Source organism: Homo sapiens, chromosome 14, assembly GCF_000001405.40.
Source record: "Homo sapiens chromosome 14, GRCh38.p14 Primary Assembly".
NCBI classification, from domain to species: domain Eukaryota; kingdom Metazoa; phylum Chordata; class Mammalia; order Primates; family Hominidae; genus Homo; species Homo sapiens.
In genome coordinates, this window is record NC_000014.9 from 52,682,729 (window position 1) to 52,697,522 (window position 14,794).

A 14,794-nucleotide genomic window follows, 5' to 3' on the forward strand; every position below is an offset into this window, starting at 1 on the left:
TCTCTACTAAAAATACAAAAATTAGCGAGGCCTGGTGGCAGGTGCCTGTAATCCTAGCTACTCGGGAGGCTGAGGCAGGAGAATCACTTGAACCCAGGAGTCGAAGGGCGCAGTGAGCCAAGGTCATGCCACCACACTCCAGCCTAGATGACAAGAGCAAGACTTTGTCTCAAAAAAGAAAAAAAAGACACAGATTGGGCTGGGCAAGGTGGCTGGCGCCTGTAATCCCAATACTTTGGGAGGCCAAGGCAGGTGGGTTACCTGAGGTCAGGAGTTCAAGACCAGCCTGGCCAGCACGGCAAAACCCCATCTCCACTAAAAATACAAAAATTAGCCAGGTGTGGTGGCAGGTGCCTGTAATCCCAGTTACTTGGGAGGCTGAGGCAGGAGAATTGCCTGAACCCAGGAGGCGGAAGTTGGCAGTGAGCAGAGATCATGCCACTGCACTCCAGCCTGGGTGACAAAGCAAGATTCTGTCTCAAAAAAAAAAAGACACAGACTGCCACTAAATAGACCCTGAACAGATGGCAACTAGGAGCCAAAGTAGCTCGACTCACATTCTTTTCAAACAAGAAAGAGTTAACAGGTAGAGGATAGACAATTGTAAACTGACTACAACTAAATACTCCATTGATCAGGTTTTCTAAACTCTTCTAGTAGATATCTCAAGATAAAACAGCACAAGTGATTTGTTTAAATAATATAGGTCAGGATAAAGTCATGATTCTACAAAAAATATTTAATTATTTTAATTAATTGGAGCCAATCTGATGTTTTAGAAAATTATGATCTCACCATTTTGATAACAATATATAATAATTTCTGTCCTAACTTCAATTTAACCAACTAGATTCTAACTCTAGAGTGTAAAATTCAGTTATTAAAATTATCCAATGGATGGTTTCAGAATCACATGCTTCACTCTTATGAACTGAATTTTCTTAATAAAGCCTATATCAATTTTAAATAACAACTACAATTTTGAAGCTCAGTAATTCTTAAGAAAATCTAATTATCCATTTAAAGTATTCATATATAAAAAATTAAAATTAAAAATACCTTGTAATACCTAAAGTAGTCACTTTCAAGAAGTTTTTGTAGTCTTGGGAAAAGCCTGTAGTTATTAAATCTATCAATGGTTTCAACATCACAGGTACAATCATCCAAGTAACCACTAACCTGTTACAAAGAAAATGAAATATTAAATTGAAATGTCCTAAATGCAACAGGGTTCTTTTTCCTCACATGGTTGTTAGGAAACAGCCCCCTACTCAACCAGTCCTTATCCTCCCTCCTCCCACATAGTTTCTTGAGATGGGGTATGACAATAATCTAGTAATACTGCTGCTCTTGCTATATACCGAGGAATGGAAGGTGTGCAGAGCTCATGACACACACACACACACACACACACACACACACAGAGAGAGTTGGCCCCCTGGCAACCTTTATTTTGTAACTCTGCCCTCCAGGCCATAGTTGACCTGACCAAGGGTAGGCATCCAACTCAAACCAGGTCATGGTCCCCTCTCCAGGATCCTAGAATTGAGAATAACAGGGAAAGATGTCTCCCTGTGGCTAGACCAGTAAAACAAATACTCCATCATGTGAACTGAGGAGCACATGATCCAGTTGGCAAAGAGAGGAAAAGTTTTTAAAAGATACACAAAGCTTGATTGTCCTCGGAATTCTTGGGGGGCAAAAAAAGATACACAAAGAAGCAGAGGTAGGAGATAGAGTATATGCTACTTGGGTATCTGAGGGGTTTCCAGCTCCCACTTCCACTGTCCTTCCTGAGGCACAGCTGCATTCCCATCCTTAGCTTTCAGTAAGGATCTAACAATCCTCAAATATTGGGCTGTAACAATTTCTTAAAGGTTTGGAATGGTGCTTAGAAACCATTTATCATTAGTAACAATGAAACAGCAAACTGACCTCAAAGTCAATCCTGCTCTTCAAATGTTTAAAGCTAATGTCTTAATGGTATGTACTAAATCAAGCTACTAAATGCACATATCCTAGGATACAATGGTAATGATAATAAATATTATCAATTATGAAACTAGAATTCTTTTTTTTTCTTTTTTCACCAGTGTTACTTGCCAAATTAAACTAAAATTCTTAGATGTTTATTTGAGCTAGAAAAACATCTAATAGAACTAAAGATTGCTTTAAGAAACAAATATATCATGATTCCAAAAACAAAAACAAACTTAGGAAAAAACTGTTAAATATAGCATGCTCCAGAAAAGAGATCTTTATACTTTGGTCTAGATATCTGCATTTTAAACTACTTTGGATTATATTTTAGGAAGATCTATAGCCTAGAAATAAATAATTTAAAAATCTACTGATAAGGAAGCAAATCAATAATACTCTATTGAAATACTGAATTAAGATTCAGTATTTCAGAACACTGTAAAATCCTAAACTTTCTTTTGAGAATATCACAAAAGAGTAATGGAAATTTTTCACCTAAAAGAAATAAGAATACTTTGGATGACAACAGCAATATTCAAGAAGAACTTTTTACTGCTTTTCCCACTCTTACTTGTTTTGGACTAATTCAGTTTCTAGAAATCAGATCTACATATTTTGTCATGTAATAACTATTTTCATTTCATATGCAAATTTGTCCTTGTTTCCTACTAAAAATTCTCTGAATACACAAGAATCTCAGAGTCCTAATTTTGGATACCAACAACACAAAGTACTTCTAACCTAAATGATATGATTTTTCAAACTTTCTTTTCAACCTTAAGAGCAGAACTTCTAGGGACAAAAAATAGCTGTTTCTCCCCTTTGATATGAATTATTATGCAAAGAATGACAGACATAGAGACTGCAAAGGCCAAAGGGACATATGCAAAGTAGAGACATTAAGTTACAAAAAGAAACACATGAAAAACTTGAGAGCAAGTTTCAAGGCATCCATTCTTCCCCCTGAGGAATTCATTTTTAAGGTTAAAATATATCTTCAAGCCTCAGCTCAGTATCACCTTTTTCAGGAAGCTGTCCTTCCAGTACTCCTTACCACCCGCTGGGTTAAATGCCTCTCCCAGCTGCTCCCAAGACACTCCACACACTATTATCTAAGTATTACTGTACCTCACAGCAGTGAATTTATCTATTTTACCCCTGCCCACTAAAGTATAAAATCCTTGAGTGAAAAATCATATACTTCCAGAAAGCACACAGTAGATGCTCAATAATTATTTGTGGCCTGTAATCCCAGCACCCTGGGAGGCCAAGGCGGGAGGATCACTTGAGGTCAGGAGTTGAAGACCAGCCTGACCAACATGGTGAAGCCCCATCCCTACCAGAAACATAAAAATTAGCCGGGCATGGTGGCCCATGCCTGTTGTCCCAGCTACTTGGGCGCCTGAGGCAGGAGAATCGCTTGAACCCAAAACGCAGAGGTTGCAGGGAACCAAGATCACACCACTGCACTGCACTCCAGCCTCGGCAACAAAGTGAGATTCTGTCACAAATAAATTATTACTATTTGTGGAAGAGGTGGGTGAATGAATGAATGTTGTCCATTGTCACTCATCACTGGAGACCAGCACCATACTGTCTCATTAAACATATCTAGCACCATGTCACCTATGGTGTGCTCAGTGCCCCAGAGTACACAAGCACAGGAGGCAGAAACACACATAGCAAGTAAAGCAAGCAGCAAAGGTAAACACCTTTTGTGTCTATCATTCTTCCTATCTCTATCCTAATTACAAAGGAAGCTCTAAGAAGCCCCAAACCAGAAAGAAATGCAAAAATCCTCCAGAGCAGAGGTGGCATATAGCCAAGAGACCTCAAAGGGAAAGAAGGCAGGATAAATGGTAGATTGGTAGATTTTAAAATGTTCTTGGCCGGGCACAGTGGCTCACGCCTGTAATCCCAGCACTTTGGGTGGCCGAGGCAGGCGGATCACAAGGTCAAGAGATTGAGACCATCCTAGCCAACATGGTGAAACCCTGTCTCCACTAAAAATTCAAAATTAGCTGGGCATGGTGGCACATGTCTGTAGTCCCAGCTGCTCAGGAGGCTGAGGCCGGAGAATCGCTTGAACCGGGGAGGCAGAGATTGCAGTGAGCCAAGATCACACCACTGCACTCCAGCCTGGGTGACAGAGCGAGACTCCATCTCAAAAAAAAAAAAATGTCCTGCCCCTTCCTGAAATATGGAGTAGGAGATATTCTTAACTACAACCACAGGTAGCAGGGCTGCTAAGGGAGTATAAGGGTGGCAGGAGTTTCAATGGATGAAGACAGCTCAGTAAAGGAAAGACAAGAAGATTCTCGGAAATCCATGCCATCTGACAACTCAGATAAGCCTGCCAACCTGATCCCTGGGAGAGAGTCTGGCAAAGATGGTGGCAGGACCAGTTCTAGAAACCAGAGAACAAAGCATGTTACTAGAATAGAATCTCAGGCTCATGCCTGTAATCAGCACTTTGGGAGGCCAAGGTTGGTAGGTCTCTTGAGCCTGGGAGTCCCAGATCAGCCTGAGCAACATGGTAAAACCCTGTCTCAACTAAAACTACAAAAAAAAATTAGCCAGGCATGGTGGCATACGCCTGCAGTCCCCGCTGCTTAGGAGGCTGAGGTGGGAGGATGGCTTGAGCCTGGGAAGTCGAAGCTGTGGTGAGCTGAGATTGCACCACTGCACTCCAGCCTGGGCAATGGGAGTGAGACCCTGTCTCAAAAAACAAAAAAGAATAGAGCCTCAGGAAAGGGCTAAGGTAAAATACAGTTAATAGACACAGAACAGGATCCGGGAAACAAAGCAAAATCCTATTACCTCAACTAAGACCAAAGACAGGTGGCAACCTGGAACAGGGAGGACTGGATGTTGTTTCAGGATGTGCTAAGGCTGCCTAAATAACTACTACATGGAACAATGCGGGTAAGGGGGAAAATTACTACGCTATATCCCAAAGTAAAACAGAACTCTGACCTACCACAGGAATCTAAATTTTTTTAAATGCTAATGTGTTTTAAAGGTTAGTATCCTAACATTTGAGGCTAACTGCTCTAGGCTTCAAGTAATGATAGCTTTTGGTAGAGGGCCAATCTAATAAGCAGAGATAAGAAGGCCCCAGTTGAGGAACAGTAAATAGGAGGACCAAGGTAGGCCTGACAAGTAACATGGACCACTTCAAAATTCCAGCCTTCTGTTCCAGCATGGTGGCTCACACGTGTAATTCCAGCACTTTGAGAGGTGAAGGCAGGAGGGTTGCTTGAGAACAGGAATTTGACACCAACCTGGGCAACACAGTGAGGCCCTATCTCTACAAAAAAATAAAATAACTAGCCAGGCATTGGGTGCACATCTGTAGTCCCAGCCACTTAGGAGGCTAAGGTGGGAGAATCGCTTGAGCCAGGGAGGTTGAGGCTGCAGTGAGCCATAATCATGCCAATGTACTCCAGCCTAAATGACAGAGCAAGACCTTGCCTCAAAAAAATAGAAAAGAAAAAAAAAAAGTCCTAGTCTTTTAAGAGTTAGAAAGCCTTGGAAGGCTTTCTATTACAATCTCCCAAGCAAAACAGCAAATCCCTCCATTCACATCCCTCAAGGAACAGGTAGTGTGTAACAATAGTTAGCGTGTATGTTCTAACATCAGACCTCCTTAGGTTTGAATCCCATCTCTGCCAGTCATTAGTTTTTCACTTTATCCCAGCTATTTAACCTCTCTAGGCCTTGGTTTCTCATCTTAATAGAAAATAGTAATAGTTCTCATCTCAAAGAGTTGATACCAAGATAAATAGTACAAAGTAAATTGTCAGTACATGTTAATCATTATTATTACCCTACTTCTACTTAAATGCTTCCAATGAAAGGGAAGCATGTATTACTTCCCAAAGCAGCACATGGCATTTTCATAATGAATAAGAAAAATACAGCCGAATTTGCAGCTAAAATTTCCCAAAAATTTGACATCTGTAGCCCCAATGGAACAAAGAACTAGATAACCAACAGTTAGCTGTGGAGGGAGCCTCAATTACCTTCTCTGTTGACTCTGTTTGATTTGACCAAATGCAAAAGGCAGGATAAAGGAAAATTACCACGTACCGCTTGTTCACTACTCTCATGTCAGAGGTATCCTTTAATTTGCAATGAAAGACAAAACAACACTTTCTAAAGTTTTCTTGTATACCAATATATTCTAGTCTTATTATACATTACCATTTTATTTTTTCACACAAAGCACTATAAGAATATATTCCTCATATACTTTTTTTTTGAGACGGAGTTTTATTCTTATTGCCCAGGCTGGAGTGCAATGGTGCAATCTCAGGTCACTGCAACCTCTGCCTCCCAGGTGCAAGAGACTCTCCTGCCTCAGCCTCCCAAGTAGCTGGGATTACAGGTGCCTGCCACCATGCCCGGCTAATTTTGTATTTTAGCAGACACAGGGTTTCACCATGTTGGTCAGGCTGGTCTCAAACTCCTGACCTCAGGTGATCCACCCGCCTCAGCCTCCCAGAGTGCTGGGATTACAGGCATGAGCCACTGCGCCCGGCCCTCATATACATTTTTTATGAAATACCTTTTAAACATGCTCAAAGTGTGAATTAGGAAAGTGAAAGAAATAAAAGGTATCCAAATAAAAAATACGTAAAATTGTCTCTTTTTGCAGATGACATGATCTTATATATAGAAAATCCTAAAGACTCCACCAGAAAACCATTAGAATAAATTCAGCAAAATTACAAGATACAAAATCAACATACAAAAATCAATTGTGCTTCTATACACTAACAATGAACTATCCAAAAAAAAATTAAGAAAACAATTCTATTTAGAATAGAATGAAAAAGAATAAACTACTTAGGAATAAATTTAACAAGGAGAGGAACGATCAGTATGCTGAAAACTATAAAGCAGTGATTAAAAAAACTGAAGATTACACAAATAAATGGAAAGATATCCCATGTTCATAAATTGAGAGAATTAATATTGTTAAAAAGCCCATACCACCCAAAGTGTTCTGCAGATTCAATGCAATTTCTATCAAAACTCCAATGGCATTTTTCACAAAAATAGAAAAAAAAATTGTAAAATTTGGATGGAACAGCAAAAGACCCCAAGTAGCTACAGCAATTTTGCAAGAACAAACCTGGAAGCAGCCTACTTTGTAATTTCAAATTATATTACAAAGCTACAGTCATCACAACAGTGTTGTATCAGCATAGAAACACATACATAGACCAATGGAAAACAATAGAAAGCCCAGAAATAAACCCACACATGTCTGGCCAACTAATCTTTGACCAAGACCAAACAATGGGAAAGCACAGTCTTGTCAATAAATGGTGGTGGGAAAACTGGATATCCATGTGCAAAAAAATGAAATTGGATCTTTATCTTACAACACACACAAAAGTCAACTAAAAGCTGATTAAAGACTTAAATGTTAGCCCTGAAACACCAAGACTCCTAGAAAAAAACATAGGAGAAAAGCTCCATGACATTAGTCTTGGCAATGATTTTTTATGTGACACCAAGAAGACCAGCAATAAAAGCAAAAATAAGTAAGTGGGACTACATGCAACTAAAATGTTTCTATGTAACAAAGAAACAAGCAACAAAATGAAAAGGCAACCTACAGAATGGGAGAAAATATTTGCAGACCATCTGTCTGACAAGATGTTATTATCCAAAATATAAAAGGAACTCATACAACTCAACAACAAAAAAACAAATAACCCAATTAAAAAATGGGCAAGGGCCGGGCACAGTGGCTCATGTCTATAATCCCAGCACTTTGGGAGGCCAAGGAGGGCAGATCACCTGAGGTCAGGAGTTCAAAATCAGCCTGGCCAACAGGGCAAGGTGGCGGGTGCCTGTAGTCCCAGCTACTTGGGAGGCTGAGGCAGGAGAATCACTTGAACCCAGGAGGCAGAGTTTGCAGTGAGCCAAGATCACGCCACTGCACTCCAGCCTGAGTGACAAAGTGAGACTCTGTCTCAAAAGAAAAAAAAAGGATAAGGACCTTTTATATATCAAAACATTATGTGGTACACCTTAAATATATGCATTTCTTTTTTCTTCTGACACGCAGTTTTGCTCTTGTCATCCAGGCTGGAGTGTGATGGTGCGATCTCACCTCACCACAACCTCTGCCTCCCGGATTCAAGCAATTCTCCTGCCTCAGCCTCCTGAGTAGCTGGGATTACAGGCATGTGCCACCACGCCCAGCTAATTTTGTATTTTTAGTAGAGATGGGGTTTCTTCATGTTGGTCAGACTGGTCTCGAACCCCCAACCTCAGGTGATCCACGTGCCTCAGCCTCCCAAAGTGTTGGAATTACAGGCGTAAGCCACCACACCCAGCCAATATATGCAATTTTTATGTGTCAATAAAGGTGGAGAGAAATACATAAATAAATCAATGTGCTCAAAGTGTGCTTTATTTGGCAAAGAACTTCAGGTGTATTTAATTTTACTGTGTTTTATCACCATAAAAAAATAACATAAAAAGTACTCATCTGTTGACAGAAGTACACTGGGACAAGTCTGTCAATGGAAGCAGGGAAATACCAAAGATTCCACACCAGGTAGTAGGCACCATCCTAAGGACCTAGAACGCTACAGGTCATTTTGGCTTTAAAGACTTAGTCTTGCCGAAACTTTAAATTGTCAAATGACTGGCAACCATCAGGAAAATATTTCTTCCACACAGTTTATTCAGAAAAGCCTGGAATGCAGCACACACATAGAGTCAGTGGACACCTCTCCAGTGTAACCTGTTTCAAAGATCCCTCTGACTAAGTTATAATCCTGGGCTTATTTCCATCCACCACTCAACATATTAGCAAGTGTCTCTCCCACGGCCCAGCCACCAGGCTAACAATTAAAACCATTGTTTCAACTGACCTAACAAGACACTTGACAGGTTAAATCTACTAAATGCGCTCCAAGCTAAAAAAGATCCATTTTTGGAGTATTTATTTTGGACTCTGAGCTACTCTCCCCTTTCATTAGCCTGACAGAGATTTACTGTGCTCAAATAAGCTATCCTGAGTGTTACTAGCACTAGCCATATTAAGATTGATAAAACATCATGAGCAAGTAAGAGTTTACAAACATCGTGAGCCACCATGCCTGGCCTAGGTTGTATATACAATTCTTACATGAGGTTACATATACAGATTTACAAGTCTAAGGCAATTAATCATTCATTTTGAGCAACTAACACTTAAGCACTATTATCAAAGGAACTTACAACATACAGTGAAAATAATTTTAGCAGGATTTGATATCAACTAACAGGCATATGTAGCAACTGACCAAATTCAAAGACTCAGTTGGAGCTATCAACCAATCTGAAAGATCAGTTCCAGAAAACATGCAAATGGCTTGCTAAGCAGAATAATTTTTAAAATATACTCCTGTTGGCATAGTGCTTGCATCTTATAATTTCCCTAGGACTTGTTGAGCACCAATTATTCACCAGGCTCACTTCTTGGAAGTGTCACACCTTTAATTCATTTTTTGATCTCCCAAAAATTGTTCACAGTAGGTTTCAACATATGCTTGATGAATTTAATCTGATTACTTGTAGAGCTCTACACATTTTAATTCAGTGACTTTCTAAGGTCACTGCTCTAGCTCAAATCAGAGCGGACATTCTGTGAACTGAACCCTACTATAAGCCAGGCACCATGCAGCAGTGTGATGATGGATGGGGATGTGGTAACCCAAGGCAGATGTGGTAAGAGGGACAGGCAACAGGAAGAAAAGATAAAACTATTACCAAAACAATCAACGGGACTGTGCAGCTCACTGGATATTGTAAACAGAACCAGAGAAGATTTTAACTTGTATTTCCAAACATCTGGTGGAAATTTAGTTTTTAACTTAGTTTCTAGCAATATTTCCTAACTTGTTTTTTAAGTGCTTAGGATCTGTGCCTCCCACGAATCCCCAATGAACATTATTCACTAAACTATAGCTCTTCAGGGCAGGGATAATGCCATAGTTATTTCTGTGTCCCAAACACTCTGGTCAACGTGCAGAGTGGTTACACTTGTTGAATGAATGATTTGCACCATTTATCTCCCCTTTTCTTTCTCCATTTTTTTTCTTTTCCCTCTCATGCTGTTTCTCTGTGTATGTCTGTCTATATGCTTGCCTCTAATTTTCTCTGCATGTCTATTCATCAGTGCCACCTCTCCTCCCTTCTCCCCCGATCCTCATCCCTTCCACTACTGGCCCTATTGTTTCACTTATAGAATTGGAATTGATAGTCTCTGTTCTTAAATAGACAACTTTTTTTTTTTTTTTTTTTTTTTTGCTTAGGCTCCCTCAAATCATGAAATAAGTAGACCATTCTAAATTTCTAAATTTCTGTTAAAACTGTTTTTTTAACTATATGATCCTCAATTTACTTTTTTATTATTATTATTATTTTGAGGCAGACTCTCACTTTGTCACACAGGCTAGAGTGCACTGATGCAATCATGGCTTACTGCAGCCTCGATCACTGAAGCAGTGGGCTGGGAAAGGCAGACCCACCCTTAATCTGGGTAGGCACAATCTAATCACCTGCCAGCATGGCTAGAATATAAGCAGGCAGAAAAACGTGAGAGACTGGCCTAGCCTTCCAGCCTACATCTTTCTCCCATGCTGGATGCTTCCTGCCCTCAAATACCAAACTCCAAGTTCTTCAGTTTCGGAACTCAGACTGGCTCTCCTTGCTCCTCAGCCTGCAGACAGCCTATTGCGGGACCTTGTGATCATGTGAATTAATACTTAATAAACTCCCTTTATATATATATTCCATTGGTTCTATCCCTCTAGAGAACCCGGACTAATACAGACCGGGTCTCCAAGCTGGTCTCGAACTCCTGGGCTCACTCCATCCTGCCACCTCAGTGTCCCAAGTAGCTGAGACCACAGGCGCACACCATCACACCCAGCTTTTTTCTTTTTTTAATTTTTTTTGTAGAGACGGGGGTTTCACTATGTTGCCCGTGCTGGTCTTGAACTCCTGGACTCAAGAGATCCTCCCACCTCAGCCTCCCAAAGTGCTGGGATTACAGGCTGGAGCCACCACACCCAGCCCAATTTACTATTTTTCAAGGTTGAGTCTGAAAAGAAACACAGATAGCCACTCTCGTTCTAAAAGAAAAAGAAAGGGGTTTAACAGAATTTTATGTTAGGGAAGTATTTGAATATGAGGGTATTGTGAAAGAGGAAAAGTTTAATCACTAGTTAGAAGAAAAAGAAAATAAATGCAAAGAATTTAAAGTTCTATTTTAAGCAGAACTCCAAAAAGGTTATTAAGGAAAAAAAAAGTAAAAGTTGAAGAGTTCAACATGTACTTTTATTCCAGTATCCAAATCTCCAGAATGTAGCTGAAAATGTTACATTGGACATCTTCTTTCCGTAAAGAATATTTTATTTTAAAGTCACTTATTTCTATCTTATTTTTTAAATGTTTAATCTCGGTGTTGCGTTATATTTCTAATCAGAAGAAAAATGACCCTTTTCCTTTTAAGTACTTGATTGTGTGTCCTTTGTAATGATTGAAGGTAAAGGACTTTTCAATGTCTCAGTTGTAAAGTAGCAATTTTCTTTCAACTTCCCTTAGTTTCCTAGATAACACTCACCTCAACTCCCAAATCACTCAGCAAAACAACAAAATCCAAGAATGTAAAGTAGTGAAAGAGAAACCTTTCATAATATTTAAATGCATCTTTCCTTTGACATGGTATCATGCCCCTAAACACATAAAATGGTATTTCTGATAATAAATTAATAGCAAAATCCACTTAGGAATAACATGGATGCCTAACCCTTAATTTTGTATAAAACGTAATTTTTATCAACAGAGTCAACCAAAAAGTGGCTTTGACAAGAGTAATCACATTGAAATACTAGATACTGAAGATAATGGAAAACTGTAAGTTTCTCTCAATTTTTTGCTCAAGAAACCACATCTCTTACAGAAGGAAATGATCATAATCCGCTTGTAATTAAACTTGTGCACTGAAGAATAAGGACCTTCCTCCCAATTCGTACCAGCTTAACGGGTGTCACGATAAGAGAATCTCATTACATTCGAGAAAAAGAGCACACAGGACCAGAAACCAGAGGGCAACTGCAGTCCCAAAGACATCAGGTAGTTGGGCTTACACACAGAAAAACCGCAAGCAGCCATTCTTCCGCCTAACATCGAAATCTGAGATCAGCCCACAAACGTCTTAGCCAGAAAGGCTGGCGAAATGCACGCAGCACAGGTACTGGGTACACAAGTTCCTGGTCAAGAGAGAAGTGAGAAAGATCCAGGTTCTGTGAAAATAGCAAATACTGGCAGGGCATTATACACTGTGCACACTCTCCCCGGGCAGATAAGACCAACAAAGATGCATAAACCCACTCAACCGCGTGCACCCAACCCCTCTCCTGGTCCGAGGCACCGGAGGGCGCGGCGACGTCCAGGCTGCCGTGGAGGCCCGGTCCACGCCAAGCCAGACTCAGTCCCGGCCACCGGGCAGCAGCACCGGAGTCTCATTCCCGGTGGGAAGAGATGCAAGGACGCACCCCCAGCCGCTCACCCGCCAGGGCGTGCGGGACAGTGCACGCCGCGGAGGGCGCCGGGACCCTCAGCACCAACGCGCACATCGCTCACCTGGCAGAAGCACCTCTGTGCCGCTGTCTCCGGGGGCTGCTCCTCTCCGTGGCCCGAGCTGAGCAGCCACACGGCGCCCAGGAGGCCAAACAAGAATCCCCAGCCGCGGCCCATTGCAGCTCCGGCAGCTTGTCGCCCCACGCTTGGGAGGCCAGTCCGCACGCTCGGTCGCGGGCCGTGCGCCCTCAGATGAAGCCCGTGCGGGCCGGCCCCAGCGGCGCCCCACCTCCGGGCCGCCTCCCAGGCCCGCCTCGGCCCTCCTGCCTCTCAGCGATCGCCACCTCGCGACCCAGCCTGTGGACGTGCCGCGGCGCCCGCGCCGGCAGCCCGGGGCCTCGGACCGGTTCCTTCCCGCCGCGTGAGGCTGACGCACCGACCAGCTTCCCGGCTCGGCCCCGCCCGGTCCGCTGCGCCCGCGCCCGTCCCCGCCCCCGGCTCCCTGACGCCCCCGGCCTGGAGACGCAACCCGACGCGCACAACCCCAGACCCTGCGCGGGAGTCGGGGGTCCTTCCAGTTCCCAGAGCGAGAGCGAAAGCCGGAGGGGCCTGTGTTTTCCTGCGGGGTTGGGGGGCGGGGGGTGCCCGCCCCGCGCCGCCCCGCCCAGCCCCAGCCCGCTCACTCCCGGCCAATCCTTCCGTATCTCAATGCGAGACAATCAAATCGTACGAATTACGTGTCCACCGTGTTCCCGGCGGAGTCTTAAAGCTGAAAGGGATATTAGAGAGCATCTAGACCAGGGCAGCATATGTCATTTATATTTTTAGTAGCCACAGCAAAAGAGTAAAAATAACAGGTACATTTTATTTTTAAAATATTTTTATTTAACCCCGAATGTGCAAAATATTATTTCAAAATATAACCAACATTAAATTTATTCATAAGATATTTGACTTTTTTTGTCTTTGAAATCCAGTGTGTATTCGATGCGAACTAGACCCATTTCATAGTCAAATGTGGCTGGCTAGTGCCCACTGTATTAGACAGCGAGGGTGGAAGCCACCCGCTCATATCATAGGAAGAAACAGGCCTAGAGAAGTGAGGTAAGGTGAGCAAGGATTGGAGGTCCTCTGATACCCAGTCCTGGTCTTTTAACATTCAGAGTTGGGACTAGTCTATCCGCTTTTTTTTTTTCCAGACAGGGTCTCCCTGGGTCACCCAGGCTGGCCTGCAATGATGCGATCGCAGCTCACTGCAACCTCGAACTCCTGGGCTCAAGCGATCCTCCCACCTAAGCCTCCTGAGTAGCATGAACTACAGGCGTGCGCCACCACGCCTGGCTAATTTTATTTTTAGTAGAAACGAGGTTTCACCATGTTGCCCAGGCTGGTCTCAAACTCCTCAAGAGCGATTCTCCCGCCTCAGCCTCCCAAAGTGCTGGGATTACTTTTTTTTTTTTTTTCGAGGCGGAGTCTCGCTCTGTCGCCCAGGCTGGAGTGCAGTGGCGTCATCTTGGCTTACTGCAATCTCTGCCTCCCAGGTTCAAGAGATTCTCCTGCCTGAGCTTCCCCAGTAGCTGGGATTACAGGCGTAAGCCACCACACACTCGGCTAATTTTTGTATTTTCAGTAGAGAAGGGGTTTTGCCATGTTGGCCAGGCTGGTCTCTAGCTCTGAGCTCAGGTGACCCACCCATCTCAGCCTCCCAAAGTGCTAGAATTGCAGACATGAGCCACCGCACCTGGCCTTACTTTTTGTTTTTTGTTTGTTTGTTTGTTTGTTGTTTTAAGAAGACTTTTTTTTGAGACACTCTCACTTCCTCACCCAGGCTGGAGTGCAGTGGCGCAATCTCGGGTCACTGCAACCTCCGCTTCCCGGGTTTAAGTGATTCTTACGCCTCAGCTACCCGAGTAGCTGGGATTACAGGCCTGCGCCACCATACCCAGCTAACTTTTGTATTTTTAGTAGACATGTGGTTTCACCATGTTGGCCAGGCTGGTCTCGAACTCCTGACCTTAAGTGATCTGCCTGCCTCTGCCTCCCAAAGTGCTGGGATTACAGGTGTGAGCCACTTCACCAAGCCTAAGAAGGTAGTTTCTAGGTGAAACTGGCAGCTTTCCGACATCTTGCATGCACATTAAAAGTTGAAATAGTTCAAATGACTTAAACTCATGTATTTTACTGCAAACCCTAGAGCTCTGCCTATCACTGCCAAGTA

General features: G+C 42.7%; 1 protein-coding gene across 14 annotated transcripts in view, besides 4 other annotated features; it reads right to left on the minus strand.

The window, feature by feature from the left end:
- Positions 1–12,830, minus strand: part of ERO1A (endoplasmic reticulum oxidoreductase 1 alpha) — a 55,644-nt gene extending 42,814 nt beyond the window's left edge. For 11 of the 14 annotated variants that reach the window (NM_001382475.1, NM_001382469.1, NM_001382476.1 and 8 more), the window contains exons 1-2: positions 12,640–12,830; positions 1,060–1,179 (exon numbers count right to left, since the gene is read on the minus strand). In NM_001382475.1, the coding sequence (NP_001369404.1) occupies positions 1,060–1,179; positions 12,640–12,753 (234 nt within the window). In that variant the 5' untranslated portion in view covers positions 12,754–12,830. Of the gene's footprint in view, positions 1–1,059; positions 1,180–12,630 lie in introns of all 14 variants that reach the window. The other 3 variants (NM_001382471.1, NM_001382474.1, NM_001382472.1) reach the window with 3 other exon arrangements.
- Positions 12,355–12,856: an enhancer, noted in NCBI's record as "H3K27ac hESC enhancer chr14:53161801-53162302 (GRCh37/hg19 assembly coordinates)". NCBI's record gives its function as "activates a minimal SCP1, AML or CMV promoter by ChIP-STARR-seq in naive H9 embryonic stem cells {active_cell/tissue: H9 hESC(naive)}" and the evidence as "EXISTENCE:reporter gene assay evidence [ECO:0000049][PMID:30033119]".
- Positions 12,355–13,301: a biological region, named in NCBI's record as "H3K27ac hESC enhancer GRCh37_chr14:53161801-53162302".
- Positions 12,462–12,511: an enhancer, noted in NCBI's record as "active region_8391". NCBI's record gives its function as "activates an Ori minimal core promoter by ATAC-STARR-seq in GM12878 lymphoblastoid cells {active_cell/tissue: GM12878}" and the evidence as "EXISTENCE:reporter gene assay evidence [ECO:0000049][PMID:35858748]".
- Positions 12,762–13,301: a silencer, noted in NCBI's record as "silent region_5746". NCBI's record gives its function as "represses an Ori minimal core promoter by ATAC-STARR-seq in GM12878 lymphoblastoid cells {active_cell/tissue: GM12878}" and the evidence as "EXISTENCE:reporter gene assay evidence [ECO:0000049][PMID:35858748]".